The 18,984-nt window shown below is 40.2% G+C and overlaps 1 protein-coding gene across 2 annotated transcripts in view; it reads left to right on the top strand.

Moving 5' to 3' along the window:
* Window positions 1–18,984, top strand: part of F8 (coagulation factor VIII) — a 186,932-nt gene that overhangs the window by 151,035 nt on the left and 16,913 nt on the right. For both annotated transcript variants that reach the window (NM_000132.4, NM_019863.3), the window contains 3 exons: window positions 8,462–8,606; window positions 9,823–9,971; window positions 11,081–11,257. In NM_000132.4, coding sequence (NP_000123.1) covers window positions 8,462–8,606; window positions 9,823–9,971; window positions 11,081–11,257 — 471 coding nt within the window. The remainder of the gene's footprint in view (window positions 1–8,461; window positions 8,607–9,822; window positions 9,972–11,080; window positions 11,258–18,984) is intronic.

The following is an 18,984-nucleotide window of genomic DNA, read 5'->3' as shown; positions in this document are numbered from 1 at the left end:
ATTTTGGCTTTTGTTGCCATTGCTTTTGGTGTTTTAGACATGAAGTCTTTGCCCATGCCTATCTCCTGAATGGTATTGCCCAGGTTTTCTTCTAGGATTTTTATGGTCCTAGGTCTTACGTTTAAGTATTTGATCCATCTTGAGTTGATTTTTGTAAAAGGTGTAAGGAAGGGATCCAGTTTCAGTTTTCTGCATATGGCTAGCCAGTTTTCCCAACACCATTTATTAAATAGGGAATCTTTTCCCCATTGCTTGTTTGTGTCAGGTTTGTCAAAGATCATATGGTTGTAACTGTGTGGTGTTATTTCTGAGGCCTCCATTCTGTTCCATTGGTCTGCATATCTGTTTGGCCCCAGTACCATGCTGTTTTGGTTACTGTAGCCTTGTAGTATAGTTTCAAGTCAGGTAGCATGATGCCTCCAGCTTTGTCCTTCTTGTCCAGGATTGTCTTGGCTATGAGGGCTCTTTGTTGGTTCCATATGAAGTTTAAAGTAGTGTTTTCCAATTCTGTGAAGAAAGTCAGTGGTAGCTTGATGGAGATGGCATTGAATCTATAAATTACTTTGGGCAGTATGGCCATTTTCATGATAATGATTCTTCCTATCCATGAGCATGGAATGTTTTTCCATTTGTTTGTGTCCTCTCTTATTTCCTTGATCAGTGGTTTATAGTTTTCCTTGAAGAGGTCCTTCACATCTCTTATAAGTTGTATTCGTAGGTATTTTATTTTCTTAGTAGCAATTGTGAATGGGAGTTCACTCATGATTTGGCTCTCTGTTTGTCTGTTATTGGTGTATAGGAATGCTTGTGATTTTTGTACATTGATTTTGTACCCTGAGACTTTACTGAAGTTGCTTATCAGCTTAAGGAGGTTTTGGGCTGAGATGATGGGGTTTTCTAAATATACAATCATGTCATCTGCAAAGAGAGACAATTTGACTTCCTCTTTTCCTATTTGAATACCCTTTATTGCTTTCTCTTGCCTGATTGCCCTGGCCAGAACTTCCAATACTATGTTGAATAGGAGTGGTGAGAGAGGGCATCCCTGTCTTGTGCCAGTTTTCAAAGGGAATGCTTCCAGTTTTTGCCCATTCAGTATGATATTGGCTGTGCGTTTGTCATAAATAGCTCTTATTATTTTGAGATATGTTCCACCGATACATAGTTTATTGAGAGTTTTTAGCATGAAGGGGTGTTGAATTTTATCGAAGGCCTTTTCTGCATCTATTGAGATAATCATGTGGTTTTTGTCATTGGTTCTGTTTATGTGATGGATTATGTTTATTGATTTGCATATGTTGAACCAGCCTTGCATCCCAGGGATGAAGCCAACTTGATTGTGGTAGATAAGCTTTTTGATGTGCTGCTGGATTTGGTTTGCCAGTGTTTTATTGAGGATTTTTGTATCGATGTTCATCAGGGATATTGGCCTGAAATTTTCTTTTTTTGTTGTGTCTCTGTCAGGTTTTGGTATCAGGATGATGCTGGCTTCATAAAATGAGTTAGGGAGGATTCCCTCTTTTTCTATTGTTTGGAATAGTTTCAGAAGGAATGGTACCAGCTCCTCTTTGTGCCTCTGGTAGAATTTGTCTGTGAATCCGTCTGGTCCTGTACTTTTTTTGGTTGGTAGGCTATTAATTACTGCCTCAATTTCAGAACTTGTTATAGGTCTATTCAGGGATTCAACTTCTTCCTGGCTTAGACTTGGGAGGGTGTATGTGTCCAGGAATTTATCTATTTCTTCTAGATTTTCTAGTTTATCTGCATAGACGTGTTTATAGTATTCTCTGATGGTAGTTTGTATTTCTGTGGGATCAGTGGTGATATCCCCAATATCATTTTTTATTGCATCTATTTGATTCTTCTCTCTTTTCCTCTTTATTAGTGTGGCTAGAAGTCTATCTATTTTGTTGATTTTTTCAAAAAAACCAGCTCCTGGATTCAATGATTTTTTGAAGGTTTTTTTGTGTCTCTATCTCCTTCAGTTCTGCTCTGATCTTAGTTATTTCCTGTCTTCTGCTAGCTTTTGAATTTGTTTGCTGTTGCTTCTCTAATTCTTTAATTTTGATGTTAGGGTGTCAATTTTCAATTTTTCTTGCTTTCTCTTGTGGGCATTTAGTGCTGTAAATTTCCCTCTAAACACTGCTTTAAGTGTGTCCCAGAAATTCTGGTACGCTGTGTCTTCATTCTCATTGGTTTCAAAGAACATCTTTATATCTGCCTTCATTTCATTATTTACCCAGTAGTCATTCAGGAGCAGGTTGTTCAGTTTCCATGTATTTTTGTGGTTTTGAGTGTGTTTCTTAATCCTGAGTTCTAATTTGATTGCACTGTGGTCTGAGAGACTGTTTGTTATGATTTCCATTCTTTTGTATTTGCTGAGGAGTGTTTTACTTCGAATTATGTAATCAGTTTTAGAATAAGTGTAATGTGGTGCTGAGAAGAATGTATAATCTGTTGATTTGGGGTGGAGAGTTCTGTAGATCTCTATTAGGTCTGCTTGGTCCAGAGCTGAGTTCAAGTCCTGAATATCCTTGTTAATTTTCTGTCTCATTAATCTAATATTGACAGTGGGGTGTTAAAGTATCCCACTATTATTGTGTGGGAGTCTACGTCTCTTTGTATGTCTCTAAGAACTTGCTTTATGAATCTGGGTGCTCCTGTATTGGGTGCATATGTATTTAGGATAGTTAGCTCTTCTTGCTGCATTTTTCCCTTTACCATTATGTGATGCTCTTCTTTGTCTCTTTTGGTCTTTGTTGGTTTAAAGTCTGTTTTATCAGAGATTAGGATTGCAACTCTTGCTTTTTTTTTTGCTTTCCATTTGCTTGGTAAATATTCCTCCATCCCTTTATTTTGAGCCTATGTGTGTCTTTGCAAGTGAGATGAGTCTCCTGAATACAGCATACTGATGGGTCTTGACTCTTTATCCAATTTGCCAGTCTGTGTCTTTTAATTGGGGTATTTAGCCCATTTACATTTAAGGTTAATATTGTTATGTGTGAATTTGATCCTGTCATTATGATGCTAGCTGGTTGTTTTGCCCATTAGTTAATGCAGTTTCTTCATAGTGTCAATGTTCTTTACAATTTGGTATGTTTTTGCAGTGGCTAGTACCAGTTGTTCCTTTCCATGTTTAGTGCTTCTTTCAGGAGCTCTTGTAAGGCAGGTCTGATGGTGACAAAATCCCTCAGCATTCGGTTGTCTGTAAAGAATTTCATTTCTCCTTCACTTATGAAGCTTTAAGAGGTTTAATTGACTCACAGTTCTGCATGGCTGTCCCATAAGTCCCATGTTCTTTCCTCAGGAAACCTACAGTCATAGCAGAAAGGGAAATAGGCACATCTTACATGGCAGCAGGCAAGAGAGAGTGTGTGAAGGAGGAACTGTCAAACACTTATAAAACCATCAGCTCTCATAAGAACTCACTATCAGGAGAACAGCGTGGGGGAAACCATCCCCATGATCCAATCACCTCCCACTAGGTCCCTCCCTTGACATGTGGGCATTATGGGGATTACGATTCAAGGTGAGATTTGAGTGGGAACATAGAGCCAAACCATATCAGTATCTAAAAGGAAAAACCTTCAGTTTTTCCACATTTGGTTATGATATCAGCTGTGAGCTTTTCCTATATGGTCTTTATTGTGTTAAGTTCCTTCTGTATCTATCTTGCTGAAAGTTTTTATTATGAATGGATATCTAGTTTTGTCAAATTCTTTTTCTGTATTGATCGAAATAATCATGTGTTTTTCATCTTTCATTCTGATAATGTGGTATATCACATTGATTGATTTGCCCATGTTGAACCATCCTTGCATCCTAGGGATAAATACCACTTGTTCATGATGAATGATCCTTTTAATGTGCTGTTGAATTTGGTTGGCTGGTGTTTTGTTGAGGATTTTTGTATCCGTGTTCATCAGGGATATTGGCCTGTAGTTTTCTTTCTTTTCTTTTCATTTTCTTTTTCTTTCTTTTTTTTTTTTTTTTTTTTTGAGACAGAGTCTTGCTCTGTCACCCAGGCTGGAGTGCAGTGGTGGTATGATCTTGGCTCACTACAACCTCCACCTCCTGGATTCAAGCGATTCTCCTGCCTCAGCCTCCTGAGTAGCTGGGACTACTGGAACATGCCATCACACCCAGCTAATTTTTGTATTTTTTTAGTAGAGATGAGTTTTCACCTTGTTGGCCAGGCTGGTCTCGAATTCCTGACCTCAAGTGATTTGCCTGCTTCAGCCTCCCAAAGTGTTGGGATTACAGGCTTGAGCCACCACACCTGGCCTGGCCTGTAGTTTTCTTTTCTAGTGTTGTTTTTGCCTGGATATGGTATCAGGGTGATGTTGGCTAATAAATTGTATTTTGAAGTGTTCTCTCTTGTATTTTTTGGAAGAGTTTAAGAAATACTGGTATTAATACTTCGTTGAATGTTTGATGGAATTCATCCATGAAGCCATTGGTCCTGGGCTTTTCTTTGTTGGAAGGTTTTTGATTACTAGATTTAATATCCCTATTTGTTGTTAGTCTGTTAAGGCTTTCTATTTCTTTGTTATTCAGTTTTGGTATGTTATATGTTTCTAGGAATTTATCCATTTCCTCTAGGTTAACCAATTTGTTGACACTTATAATAGTCCCTTATGGTTCTGTCTGTTTCTGTGACATCAGTTGTAGTGTCTCCTCTTTCATTTATATTTTATTTATATGAGTCTTCTCTCTTTTTTTCGTAGTCTAGATAAGGACTTGTCAATTTTGTTTATTTTTTCAAAAAAATCAACTCTTAGTTTTGTCAGTTATTTCCAATTGTTTTTTTATTCTCTTTTTTATTTATTTCTGCTCTAGCATTTATTATCTCCTTTGTTCTGCTACCTTTGGGCTTAGTTTTTTTTTTCTTCTTTTTGTAGTTCCTGGAGGTGATAAGTTGGGTTGTTTATTTCATATGTTTCTTCTTTTTAAATATAGGCATTTATTGCTATAAATTTCCCTATTAGTATGCTTTTACTGCATCCTTTAAGTTTTGGTATATTATCAAGATTTTGGTTTCTTCTGTGACCCAATGGTCGTTCAAGAATGTGTTGTTTAGTTTCCACATATTTGTGAATTTTCGTGTTTTCTTATTGTTATTGATTTGTAGTTTCAATCCATTGTGGTCAGAAAATATACTTGGTATGATATTAATCTTCTTAAATTTATTATGACTTGTTTTGTGACCTGAAAGGTGATCTGTCCTGAAGAATGTTTTGTGTGTGCTTGATAATTCTACTGTTGGGTGGAAAGTTCTGTATATACATTTTAGGTCCATTGGGTCTATTTTATTCTTCAGTTCTGTTTTGTCCTTATTGATTTTCTGTTGGGATGATCTATTCATTATAGAGAGTGGAGTATTGAAGTCAACTATATTATATTGTTATCTATTTCTCCTTCCATGTCTGTCAATGTTTGCTTTATATATTTAGGTACTTTCGTGTTGGGTACATATATATTTATAATTATTACATCTTCCTGTTCAAGTGACCCTTTTATTATATAATGACCTTCTATGTCTCATGTCACAGTTTTTTACTTAAAGACTATTTTTTCTCATACAAGTATAGCCACCCCTGCTCTCTTTTGGTTACAGTTTGCATGGCATAACTTTCTCCACCCCTTCACTTTCAGCCTATGTATGTCCTTAAATCAAAAGTGAGTCTGTTATCAACAACATGTAGTTGGGTCCTGTTTATTTTTGTTTCTTACTTCCCATCTCTGAATTGTTGGCTTTTTAAAAAGCCCATTCAGTTACTCTGTGTCTTTTGACTGGGGAGTTTAGTCAATTTACACTTAAAGTAATTATTGATAGGTTAGGACTTTCTGTTGCCATTCTGTTAATAGTTTTCTGTTTTGTAGTTTTCTTGTTCCTTTCCTCTTTTTCTTTCTTTGTGGTTTGATGATTTTTGCTTGGATGTGTTTTGATTCTTTTCTCTTTATCTTCTGTATATCTACTGTGTGGGGGGGCGGTCGGGGGGGTTACCACAGGGATCAAATTGAACACTTTATAGTTATGGCAGTCTGTTTTAAGCTGACAACACCTTCAATCACATACAGAAACTCTATACTTTACTCATTCCCCCCGCCACAACTTTATGTAATCGACGTCATATTTTACTTCCTTCTATATTGTGTTTCCATTGACAAATTTCTGTCACTATAGTTACTATTACTATTTTTGTCTTTTAATTTATAAATTAATATTAATAGTGATTTATAACAATCATTATAGTGTTACAATAGTCTATGTTTCTCTTTATATTTACCTTTAGCAGTGAAAGGATTCATATGCTTTTGTGTTACTGTTTTTTTTTTATTTCAACTTGAAGAACTATTAGCACTTCTTATAAGGCAGGTCTCATGGTGACAAACCCCCTCAGTTTTTGTTTGAGAAAGGCTTTATCTTTGTGTTCATTCTTAAAGGACAGTTTTTCCAGATAAAGTATTGTTGATTGGATTTTTTTCTCTCAGTACTTTGAATATATCATCCCACTCTTTCCTGACCTGCAAGGTTTCTGCTGAGATATCCACTCATAGTCTTATGGAGCTCCCCTATAGGTGACAATTCACTTTCTTCTTACTACCCCAAAATTCTCTTTTGTCTTTGTTGAAAATTTAATTATAATGCATCTCACTGTAGACTTCTGTGGGTTTAATGTATTTGGTTATCTTTGGGCTTAATGAATCCAGATGGCACTTCCCCTCCATAGATTTGGGGAGTTCTCACCTATTATTTCTTTAAATAAGTTTCCTTTCTCTCTCTCTTCTCCTTTTAAGATTTCTATAATGCATCTATCATTTTGCTTGATGATGTCCCATAAGTCCTCTGTTCTTCCTTCACTCTTTCTCATTGTTCTTTTTATTCCGCTAACTAGATAATTTCAAATGACTTGTCTTCAAGTTTACAAATTCTTTCTTCTGAATGATTGAGTCTGCTATTAAAGATCGCTATTAAATTTTTTAGTTCAGTCATTCTTCAGCTATATTCAGCAATATTCTTTAGCTACAGGATTTTTATTTGGTTCTTTTTTATGGTTTTTATTTCTTTATTAAACTTCTAATGTTGTTCATGTATTGTTTTCCTCATTTTGTTAGTCGTCTTCCTGTATCCTCTTGTAGCTAATTGAGCTTCTTTAAATGATTATTTTGAATTCTTTGTCAAAAATTTCATGAATCTCCATTTCTTCAGGGTTGGTTACTGGAGCTTTATTAGTTCCCTTTGGTGATGTCATATTTGCCTGATTCTTCATGATCCACATAGCCTAGCATTGGTATCTGTGCATTGGAGTGAGCTGACACCTCTTCTGGTCTGAAGTTGGGTACTCAGACAATGGGCCCATTACCAGGGCTTTGGATAGGTGTAGCTCTCACTGGGTCCTTGAGTGGGCAGGACTGCCTGCAGACCATGATGCAGTGGGCCTGGAGCTGGGTCAAAGGGCTGCTTCAGGGTCCCCACTTGGGCCCACAGTCAGTGGGCCTGTTATGGGGGCACAGGTAAGTGTGGATTCAGGCAGGACTGTCTCCAGAACATGGTACAGCAAGACTGGAGTTGGCTCACAGGGTTACTTCTGAGTCCACAGTCAGGTCTAGTTGGTGGGCCTGCTTCCAGAGGTGGACTGGCATGACTCCCACCTGTTTCCTAAGTAGGCAAAACTTCCCCAAGACCATGGTAGTGTGGTACTGAAGCTGCTTTAGGTACAGGGCTGCTTCAGAGTCCACAGTTGGGAGCCCTGTTACTGGGGTTGCCAATGGGAGTTGCTCCTCCCAGATTCCTGGGCAGATAGGGATAGTGGTAGGACCACATACAAACAACTCTGGAGCTAAGTCCCCAGGGTGGTGGGCTGCTTCTGGGTCCACAACCAGAACTACAGTTGACAGGCCTGCCGCTAGAATGTGGGCCTGCCTTATTAAAGTATTCATCTTTGTTCTTGAGCTCTACCAGGGTTTCTCAACCTCCTACCTGAATCCCAAGGCTCCCACAAAGACACTTTTGTCCATAGATCATTGTCAAATTATTGTTCCTGTGGGGGAACAAGAGCTAGGGACCTCCTATCCCATCAACTCACTGATACCGTTCTCCTGATGCTGCATTTTGAATTGCCCTCAGGTGATGCTGCTACTCCTGGTCTGTGGACCATGCTGGAGTAGCAGAGCCCAAATGGCTTCCTCAACTTTTATGAGCCTTTTACAGGAACTCAAAGTAGAAAATAACTTCACTTGCCCCAGACCTAATAATTTCCTTTGTTCCCACTTCTTCTTGGTGCTTTCCTCCTTTGTGTCTACCATCGTAACATCCATCTAACCATAGTTGTCTTATGTAGATGTTGGATGCTGTTGAGAAACGCACAAAGCAAATTAGAAGGAAGATATGATTGACAGAAATTGCTTTTTACTCTGTATTCACTTTCCATGTATTTGTGCTAATCTCTCCATACAGGTCTTCTTTGGCAATGTGGATTCATCTGGGATAAAACACAATATTTTTAACCCTCCAATTATTGCTCGATACATCCGTTTGCACCCAACTCATTATAGCATTCGCAGCACTCTTCGCATGGAGTTGATGGGCTGTGATTTAAATAGTAAGTGCCAAGTCATCCCATATCCTTCTTCCCTCAACCATGGGTAGGGTGACTAACTGTTCTAGTTATCCTGAGACTGGGGGAGGGGTTCCCGGTATCAGGACACAAAATTGTCAGTGCTAAAACCAGCATAGTCCTGGGCAAACCCAGAAATACCATTCAACCCAGCAGTCCCATCACTGGGTATATAATCAAAGGAATATAAATCATTCTGTCATAAAGACACATGCACGCATATGTTCATTTCAGCACTATTCACAATAGCAAAGGCATGGAGTCAACCTAAATGCCCATCAACAACAGATTGGATAAAGAAAATGTGGTACATACATACCATGGAATACTATGCAGCCATAAAAAAGAATGAGATCATGTCCTTTTCAGCAACATAGATGCAGCTAGAGGCCATTATCATAAATGAACTAATGCAGGAACAGAAAACCAAATATCATGTGTTCTCATAAGTGGGAGCTAAACATTAAATGCACATGGACACAATGATGGACACTCAGGAGGGGAGAGGTTGGGAGGGGGGTGTGGGTTAGAAGGTTATGTATTGTGTACTGCACTCACTACCTGAGTGAGGGGATCATTCATACACCAAGCCTCAGTGACATGCAATTTACCCATGCAACAAACCTACCCATGTACCCCTAGAATCTAAAATAAAAGTAGAAGAAGAAAAGAAACAAAGAAAATTAAAGAGTCACACAAAGTGGGAAGAGCTGGCTGGAAAACAGATAGCAATAACAGAATTGGCCGGGCGTGGTGGCTCACACCTGTAATCCCAGCACTTTGTGAGGCCAAGGCGGGTGGATCACGAGGTCAGGAGATCAAGACCATCCTGGCTAACATAGTGAAACCCCAACTCTACTAAAAATACAAAAAATTAGCCGGGTGTGGTGGTGTGCGCCTGTAGTCCCAGCTACTCGGGAGGCTGAGGCAAGAGAATCGCTTGAACTCGGGAGGCAGAGGTTGCAGTGAGCTGAGATCATGCCACTACACTCCAGCCTGGGTGACAAAGCGAGACTCCATCTCAAAAAAACAAAAACAAAACAAAACAAAACAAAAAACCAATAACAGAATCTGTGCAAAAGTTAAAACCTGAGAAATGATATTATGATGACAGTAGCCCTAGAATATCAGTGGAAGCTGCTCAGTATAACTGAGGCTGAAGCATGTCCTTGTGATAACCTTCTTTTTTCTTTTCTTTGAGGTTGCAGCATGCCATTGGGAATGGAGAGTAAAGCAATATCAGATGCACAGATTACTGCTTCATCCTACTTTACCAATATGTTTGCCACCTGGTCTCCTTCAAAAGCTCGACTTCACCTCCAAGGGAGGAGTAATGCCTGGAGACCTCAGGTAAGAGGCAACAGATTTACTGTTTAACTGACTCAGAGCAGTGGTTGGGGAAAAAATCGGGGAAGGCCTTGACTGTTTCTTCTGAGGTATTTCTGTCAACTGTTAGTTCTAAAAAGTGTGTCAAGGAAGTTTGGTTATGGGCAGACAACCACACAGGCATTTGGGGGAAATGATCTCTAATTGAACCTCCTGGAAGAAGAATCTCTATATCTAGTACTGAGCTAATATCTGTCAAAGAATTGTAGAAGCTAAAGTCCATTTTACAGATAAATATCAACAATTAGCTTTCTTTCCAGGTTTCTCATTACATCAATGAAAAGTAAACATTTACTGCACATCTTAGTATCCCTAGGATGAGCCTAGGGATACAAAGGTGAATTGTGAAAAATTTTGGCCCTGAAGTTGCTTAGAGTTGAATAAGAGAGACTGACTAGCCAATAGAAAGTGGAGGCTGGGTGCGGTGGCTCATGCCTGTAATCCCAGCACTTTGGGAGGCTGAGGCGGGCCGATCACAAGGTCAGGAGTTCTAGATCACTCTTTTGCTGAGGCAGGATAATCGCATGAACCTGGGAGGCGGAGGTTGCAGTGAGCTGAGATCATGCTATTGCACTCCAGCCCAGGCAACAGTGCCTGACTCTGTCTGAAAGAGGCAGAGAGAGAGAGAGAGAGAAAGAAAGGAAAGAAGGAAGGAAGAAAAAGAAAGAAAGGAAGGAAGGAAGGAGGCCGGGCAGAGTGGCTCACGCCTGTAATCCTAGCACTTTGGGAGGCCTAGGTGGCAGATCACCTGAAGTCAGGAGTTCAAGACCAGCCTGGCCAACCTGGTGAAACCTCATCTCTACTAAAAATATAAAATTATCTGGACATGGTGGTGGGCACCTGTAACCACAGCTACTCGGGAAGCTGAGGCAGGAGAATCGGTTGAACTCGGGAGGCAGAGGTTCAGTGAGCTGAGATCATGCCATTGCACTACAGCCTGGGTGACAGAGCAAGACTCCGTCTCAAAAAAGAAAGTAGAGTGAGAAGTGCTGTGGTATGGTTAAGAGGGATTTGGGAATTTCTGGGAGTAAATGGTGACCAAGAGGCTACTAGTCCAACTCTATTGCCCTCAGGTGAATAATCCAAAAGAGTGGCTGCAAGTGGACTTCCAGAAGACAATGAAAGTCACAGGAGTAACTACTCAGGGAGTAAAATCTCTGCTTACCAGCATGTATGTGAAGGAGTTCCTCATCTCCAGCAGTCAAGATGGCCATCAGTGGACTCTCTTTTTTCAGAATGGCAAAGTAAAGGTAAGCTGGTCTCCTTGGAAAGAAAGAAAGAAAGAAAAAAAATACCACCTCTCCTAGAGCTTAACATAACATAAAAAGGTTGATATATGACCAAATTTTCAGAGCAAAATTTATTAAGTACCTATGGTAGCAAGACATTGTAAAAGGCATTCTGAGAGAACACAGTGACTTTAAGAAAAAGGTAAAATACTGAGAAAAGGGCAGAGTAGATCCAAGAGTTAATTCTCCTCATCAGCACCTTGATTCCCAAGCCTTTTTGACCTTTAAGTTTAGTGGTCCAGGAAGTCTTCATTCTTAATCTGGGTTTGCTGGATAATTCAACAAATTGTCCTGATTAAAAGACATGACATAAAGTCTTATCACCCCATGAGTAATGGGGGAAGGAATAGTTCCTCTCTTTGGTATTTTTTATATTCTTTTTTCACCAAGAATTAACCATGATGTGGTCCTTACCAATCTCTCTAATACAGTCTCTTGCCACTTGGCTCTTTAAGCTCCATCCATACTAAGAAATTCTCAGGTCACTAAATACAGCCATTATATCTCATACCAGGCTTTTAAATAGATACTATTTCTTCTACCTGGAACATTTTTCTAGCTACCCTCTACTGCCACTTTCACCTGACTCATTCGTTAAGTCTCAGGTAAACATCATGTCCAAGAAGAATTCCCTTATCCATCAAGGCTGGATGAAAGACTTCACCAAACTGGCAGTTTGGTGAACTGAAGTCTAGACATTGGATATTCTAGAAGAAAAATTCCCATTTAAAAAAGGTTATATCTCTGATTAGTGCCACAACATGATGAACTTTCAAAATATGCTAAGTGAAGGCCGGGCGCGGTGGCTGATGCCTGTAATCCCAGCACTTTGGGAGGCTGAGGCAGGCAGATCACGAGGTCGGTAAATTGAGACCATCCTGGCTAACACAGTGAAACCCCATCTCTACTAAAAATACAAAAAATTAGCCAAGCGTGGTGGCGGGTGCCTGTAGTCCCAGCTACTCGGGAGGCTGAGACAGGAGAATGGCATGAACCCGGGAGGCAGAGCTTGCAGTGAGCCGAGATCGCACCACTGCATTCCAACCTGGGCAACAGAGTGAGACTCCATCTCAAAAAAAAAAAAAAAAGAAAATACGCTAAGTGAATAGGCCAGACATAAAAGGATAGATATTATATGATTCTACTTATATGAGTGTGTTAGTCAGGGATATCCAAAGAAATAGAACCAATAGGAGATTCTGTCTGTCTGTCTCTCTCTCTCTGTCTCTCTGGATGAGCTAAACTGTTTTAGTTCAAGACTGAAAGCAGGAAAAAGCTGATGTTCCAGTCCAAAGGCAGACAGGCAGCAAGAATACTTTCTTACTTGGGGAAGACTCAGTCTTTTTGTTCTATTCAGGCCTTCAACTAATTGGATGATGCCTCCCACATTAGGGAGAGCAATCTGCTTTACTCAGTCTACTGACTTCGATGTTAATCCCATTCAAAAACACCTTCACAGAAATAACCAGAATAATGTTTGAGTAAATATCTGGGCACCTTATGACCAAGTAAAGTAGATACATAAAATTAACCATGACAAGTCCACCCCTTGTCAATGTAGCACCCATCATACACATCTCCTTTATCTCTAAGTAGAGACAAAAATGAGGTCATAATTCCACCTAACATGATATAACAAAACTTGGCTGGTATTGATAACTACCTTCTTCTACTACCCATTCTGTATTGACTTTGCCTTCAGCAAGCATCTCAGCTGATTGTGGTTCTTTACCTGATGAGGTGACCCAAACCTTTATTCCTGAAGAGCCTGGGCCACTAGTAGTCCTGCATGGATTGGGTTGCTGTAGTTTCCCATTGACCAGAATCATAGGGCCTGGTAATACTAAGAGACACTCTAAGGGATCTATTGTATTCCAGACACACTCTTCCATACCTCCATTGTGAAGCAGTAGTTCAGTTTCCTTCCAGGAAGGACAAAACGCTGCCCCTTCCATGATGAACATATTCCAATGTAATCAACCTGCTGCCAGATAGCTGGCTGATCATCCTGGGAAATACTGCCATACTGAGGACTCTGTGTTTGTCTCTACTGCTGGCAGATTGGGCACTTAGCAGTGGCCATAGCCAGGTCAGCCTTGTTGAATAGAAGTCCATGTTGCTGAGCCCATGCATAGCCTCTATCCCTGCCACCATGGCTACTTTGTTCATGAGCCCATCAGGCAGTGACATAGGTGGCTGAGTAAAAAGGATGACTGGTATCCACAGAACAGGTCATCATATCTACTTTTTTTTTGAGATGGAGTCTTGCTCTGTTGCCCAGGCTGGAGTGCAGTGGCACAATCTCAGCTCACTGCAACCTCTGCCTCCCAGGTTCAAGCATTTCTCGTGCCTCAGCCTCCCGAGTAGCTGGGACTACAGGCACGCATCACCATGCCTGGCTAATTTTTGTATTTTTAGTAGAGACAGGGTTTCACCATGTTGGCCAGGCTGGTCTTGAACTCCTGACTTCAGGTGATCCTCCCGCCTTGGCTTCCCAAAGTGCTGGGATTACAGGCGTGAGCCACTGCACCCGGCCCATCATATTTACTTGATTATTGAAATCCTTATCTGCTGAGGTCACCCTTCGTTGAGCACTCACATGGGACATAAATATATTCACATCCTTTGCCCATTCAGAGAGATCTGTCCACATACCTCTTCCCCAAATTTCTTTGTCACCTGTTTTCTAATCATGTTCCTTCCAAGTCCCTATCTGGACAAAGCACTGACTACAGCCCATTACTTGACATATAATTGCACACCTGGCCATTTCTCCTTCTAAGCAAAGTCCACAACCAGGTACACTGCCTAAAATTCTGCCCACTGTCCTTCATGGGTATCTCAGATCGGGACTGTCCACTTTTGTGTAGTACCTGCATATCGTGCAGAACCGTCTGTAAACCAGGCCCAAGACTCCTCTTCCTCTGTAAACTGATCATAGGGAACTCCCAATGGGGCCATAAGTGCAGGCTGGGAGAGAGAAGGCAGGGTAGCAGAAACAGGCACCATGGACATTTGGGCTACTTCTTCATGTAATTTACATGTGTTTTCAGTACCTGCTCAGACATGATCATGTATATACCACTTCCATTTGATGATGGAGTGCCATTGTTCATACCCAACTTTATGGCTTGGTGGGTCAGATAACACCTAGTTCATGATGGGCAGTTCAGGTCACATGGCAACTTGGTGGTCTGTGGCTAAGCATTCAGTATCTACTAAGGCCCAGTAGTAGGCCAAGAGCTATCTCACAAAAGGAGAACAGTTATTCACAGAGGATTACAGGAGGATTTCTCACTACAGTAGCCCCTGCTCCATAGGTCAGGGAACCAATGTGAAGATCCTGCTAGCTGCTCAATATATCTGTTCCAATTACGCATTCCAGGACTGGGGAAATAACCACAAGATAGTCTCACAGATCCTCTGCATCCACTTTGAGATGGACTTGAGCTAAAATTCCATTGATCATTTGACCCTCCATAAGCCCATACTCTGACTGGTGGACCACAGTGACATTTTGGGTCTCCTGAAATTAGTGCCAGTTCAGAGCCATTGTCCAGTAGTCCCTGAAAGGTCTGATTAATTATTTTTCTTCAGTGCACATTTATTCTGATAGAAAGGCCATATGTCCCTTTGGGGAAGGCTGAGAGAAAGAGTGGCAGTATTCTTGGCAGTGTACCAGAGTCCTTCCTCAAGGAGACTGAGCCTCCCCTTCATTCAAGGAGTGCTGGGTCTGTAAACCTGCTCAAGTCTGGGAATTGATTGAGAGGCCGTGACTCTGTTTTTATTATTCAGGTTAGACTTTTGTTCACTTGACCTAGAACTTTTCCACTTATGCAGTTCAAGAATTTGGTAGGCATTCTATCTATATCACATCTAGGAACACTATAATCTACTAGCCAACACCATAGGTCTGTGCAAGTCATACTATTCTAACTGCTGCTTTGACTCTGCTGTCCCTTATGGTAACCACACTTACCTTGCCTTTGGCAGTTGAGTGCTGCCCATTGGCCCCTTCCACCCCAGGATCCAATTATTCCCATTGTATTTAGGTTTTCTAATTCAGTGACTGCAGGTCCTGCTGTAAGGTGTCACCTACAGAGAAGAGTGATCACAGAGCCCTTCAAGGATGCTGAGGTTCCCCTCACAAATTTATTCCTCAAAGTAATAGTGAGATCTGTGTCTTCTGAACTCTCCCAGTGTTGGTGAGTATGTCTTAAATGACAAATTCACTCTAGCATTTCAATCTCCTTTCTTCTACATTAAACCAGGGCAAGTCTGAAATTTCTAGTTTGCTCACTGTGGGCCATCTTTTGGTCTGTGTTTCAGCCAACCAATTAAACTGTTAGAGGCCTTCCTAATTCCCTGAGATGCAACATTAAGTCCAGAATCTCTGCTTAGTGGGCCCATGTCAATAAATTTGGCCTAATCCAACTTTACGTGCCTTCCACCGTTATCTCACATCCTTAGTACCCATTCCTATACATATTCTCTGGATTCCTGCTTGTGTAAATTAGAAAACTCAAGTCATGATTTTGGAGTGTAGTGCACCTTGTCATGGGTCACCTTCATACCTCACCTCGCCTGCTGGGACTTGAGTGTAGTTATAGATCTAATAACAAAGAGGGGTGGTAGGGTGGGTCCTGAAGGAATCAGCATTATCTTGCATGGCAGTTGCCTCAGGGGAAGCCATTACAGTTTCCTCAGGCAGTGCAGGGTTAATCCACTTAGACTGGAGTAGAGATACTGCCACCACAGGGCTGGAGAGAAAACTTTCACTGACAAAGAAGACTCATCAATATTTAGGAGCTCAATGTCCCCAGCTTAATCAGGGTCTTCCACACATACCTAATCCAACTTGTAGTGCCCCATTCTTTCCCAATCACTGCCCTTGCTTTAACAGTAGACACCCTGCAAAGCTGGGAGTTTGGCTTGCTTTGTAATTCAGTTAGTCACAGGATGAGATTTGGCATTTGATTTTCAGCAATCTCAGCTCTGTGGCTACAGTAGATAAGGGTCTCCTTCAGGGCATACATAGAATCTGTCAAGTCATTTATGCAGCTCTTGAGCTGGGAATTCAAATTCCTGAGCTCCTCCTTTTCTTTCATCACTTTTTCCAGCAACATTAGGAGCAACCGACTAATCCCATCATATTCATTAGTTTGACAAATATGTTCACAAGTGTCAATATACATAGTCACCAAGACCCTTGCTTCTTAAAAGTAGTTGATTAGGAGTATCCAATGGAGATATTTTGCATATACATATTTTTTGAGATGGAGTCTCGCTCTGTCACCCAGGCCGGAGTGCAGTGGCATGATCTCAGCTCACTGCAACCTCCATCTCCCAGGTTCAAGCGATTATCATGCCTCAGCCTCCCGAGTAGTTGGGATTACAGGCACCTGCCTAATTTTTGTGTTTTTAGTAGAGACAGGGTTTCATCATGTTGGCCAGGCTGGTCTCGAACTCCTGACCTCAGGTGATCCATCCACCTCGGCCTCCCAAAGTGCTGGGATTACAGGCGTGAGCCACCGCGCCCAGCCTGGCCTACATATTTCTATTGCCAGATCATGCCATGGACAATTTTTACTACTGAAAATAGTCATTAGTGTCTTTAAATTTCATCAGGTTACAGAACCAATTCCAGAAATCCAATAACAAATTTATAAAATTTATCCTTAAAATTCTGTTCCTTTAGAATCACTCTTGGTGTGAAAATCTGTATTAGTCATGGTTCCCAAAGAAACAAAACCAGAACCAAGAGGAGATACATACACACACACACACACACACACACACACAAGGAATTAGCTCATGTGATTATGGAGTCTGCCAAGTCTCAAGATCTGCAGGGTGAGTTGGCAGCCTAGAGACCCCAGAGAGCTGATTCGTAGTTCCAGTTCAAAGACCAGCAGGCTACAGACCCAGAAAGAGTTAAAATGTTTTAGTTCGAGCCCAAAGGCAGGAAAAAAACTGAAGTCCCAGTTTAAAGGTAGTCAAATAGAAGGAACTGTCTCTTACTAAGAGGACAGTAAGCCTTTTTGTTATATTTAGGCCTTCAACTGATTGGATAAGTTCTACCCACACTGGGGAGAACAATCTGCTTTACTTAGTCTACCAATTCAAATGTTAATCTCACCAAAAAACACTCTCACAGACACACATAAAATAAAGTTTAATCAAATATATGGGCACCCCATGGCCCAGTCAAGTTGACACATAAAATTAACCACCATAATGAGGTATCTAGAGCAGGCAAATTCATAAAGACAGAAAGTAGAAAAGAGGTTACCAGGGTCTTGGAATGGGGAAGAAATGGAGAGTTATTTTTAATGAGTACAGAGTTTCTGTTTGGGGTGATGAAAAAGTTCTGGAAATGGATAGTGGTAATGGGTGCACAATATTGTGAGTATACTTAATACCACTAAATTGTACACTTAAAAATGATTAAAATGGTAAATTTTATGTATATTGTACAACAATAAAAAAGGCTATATCACTGACAATGCATTGTTGTATTTAGCAAAGAAAGGGGAATCTCCAGCCTCCCCATCAACAAAAACCCCCACAAACTTCTATTTTAAAATAATGAGCTGAAATCATAGCGGAGAGGTGAATAATGAGCAAATATAAAAAGGAAGACCTTTCCTCAGACAGAATGCCCATATTAATGTTGTTACTGGAAGACTAAGCCTTGAGCAAAATGCAAGGAGAACTCAGTGTGAGAATTCTGCATTGTCATGAATCCCAGAAGGAAGCTAGAGAAGTTGCAGATAAATATTATCCTCTGGCACCTGGAAGAACCATTCTCAACCTACTCTAGAAAAAAAGCACCTCCAGTTTAGGCCTCCAGGATTCCTACATATTAAAATTATAAGATCACAGACATAGATCAGCAAACATGCAAGACAACAAGACAACTTGAGTACAAGTGAACAGAAACAATCAATTCAGATTTAAAACTTGAAGAACACCAGATATTGACATTATCGGATACATAATATGAAATAATTATGTATAAAATCTTTAAAGTAATAACATATGGAAACATGAAAATAAAAGACAAATTATCCAACATTATTAGGCAGTTGAAAAAAACCATTGCAGGTTACAAAGTCAACATGCAAAAATCAATTGTATTTTTATATACTAACAATTACAAATATGAAAAGGAAAACAGAAAAGTCTATTTACAATAGCATCAAAGATAATACAATATTTAGGAATAAATTTAACGAAGGAGGTGCAAGTCTTGTCCACTAAAAACAAAAAAACCCAGTTGAAAGAAACTAAAGAACTGTCTGGTCTGAAGACAGCAAATATGGAAAATTAGCAACTAGAAAAAAATTAAAAATTAAAAATTAAAAGAGAAATTAAATAACTAAATAAATGAAAAGGCATCCTGGATTTATGGATTTGAAGACATAATATTCTTAAGATAAGAATATTACCACAAACCATTTGCAGATTCAAAGCAAGCATTCTGGGTTTTTTTGTTTGTTTGTTTGTTTTTTGATTTGAGACGGAGTCTCACTCTGTCGCTCAGGCTGCAGTGTGGTGGTGCAATCTCCACTCACCATAACCTCTGCTTCCTGGGCTCAAGCGATTCTCCGGCCTCAAAGCATTCTCTATCAGAATCCCAAAGACATTTTTTTTTTTGAGGAATAGAAAAATCTATCCTAAAATTC

This window comes from Homo sapiens, chromosome X (assembly GCF_000001405.40).
Source record: "Homo sapiens chromosome X, GRCh38.p14 Primary Assembly".
Taxonomy (NCBI): Eukaryota; Metazoa; Chordata; class Mammalia; order Primates; family Hominidae; genus Homo; species Homo sapiens.
The sequence above is the reverse complement of the archived record's forward strand: the minus strand, read 5'-3'. Positions and strand labels throughout refer to the sequence as shown.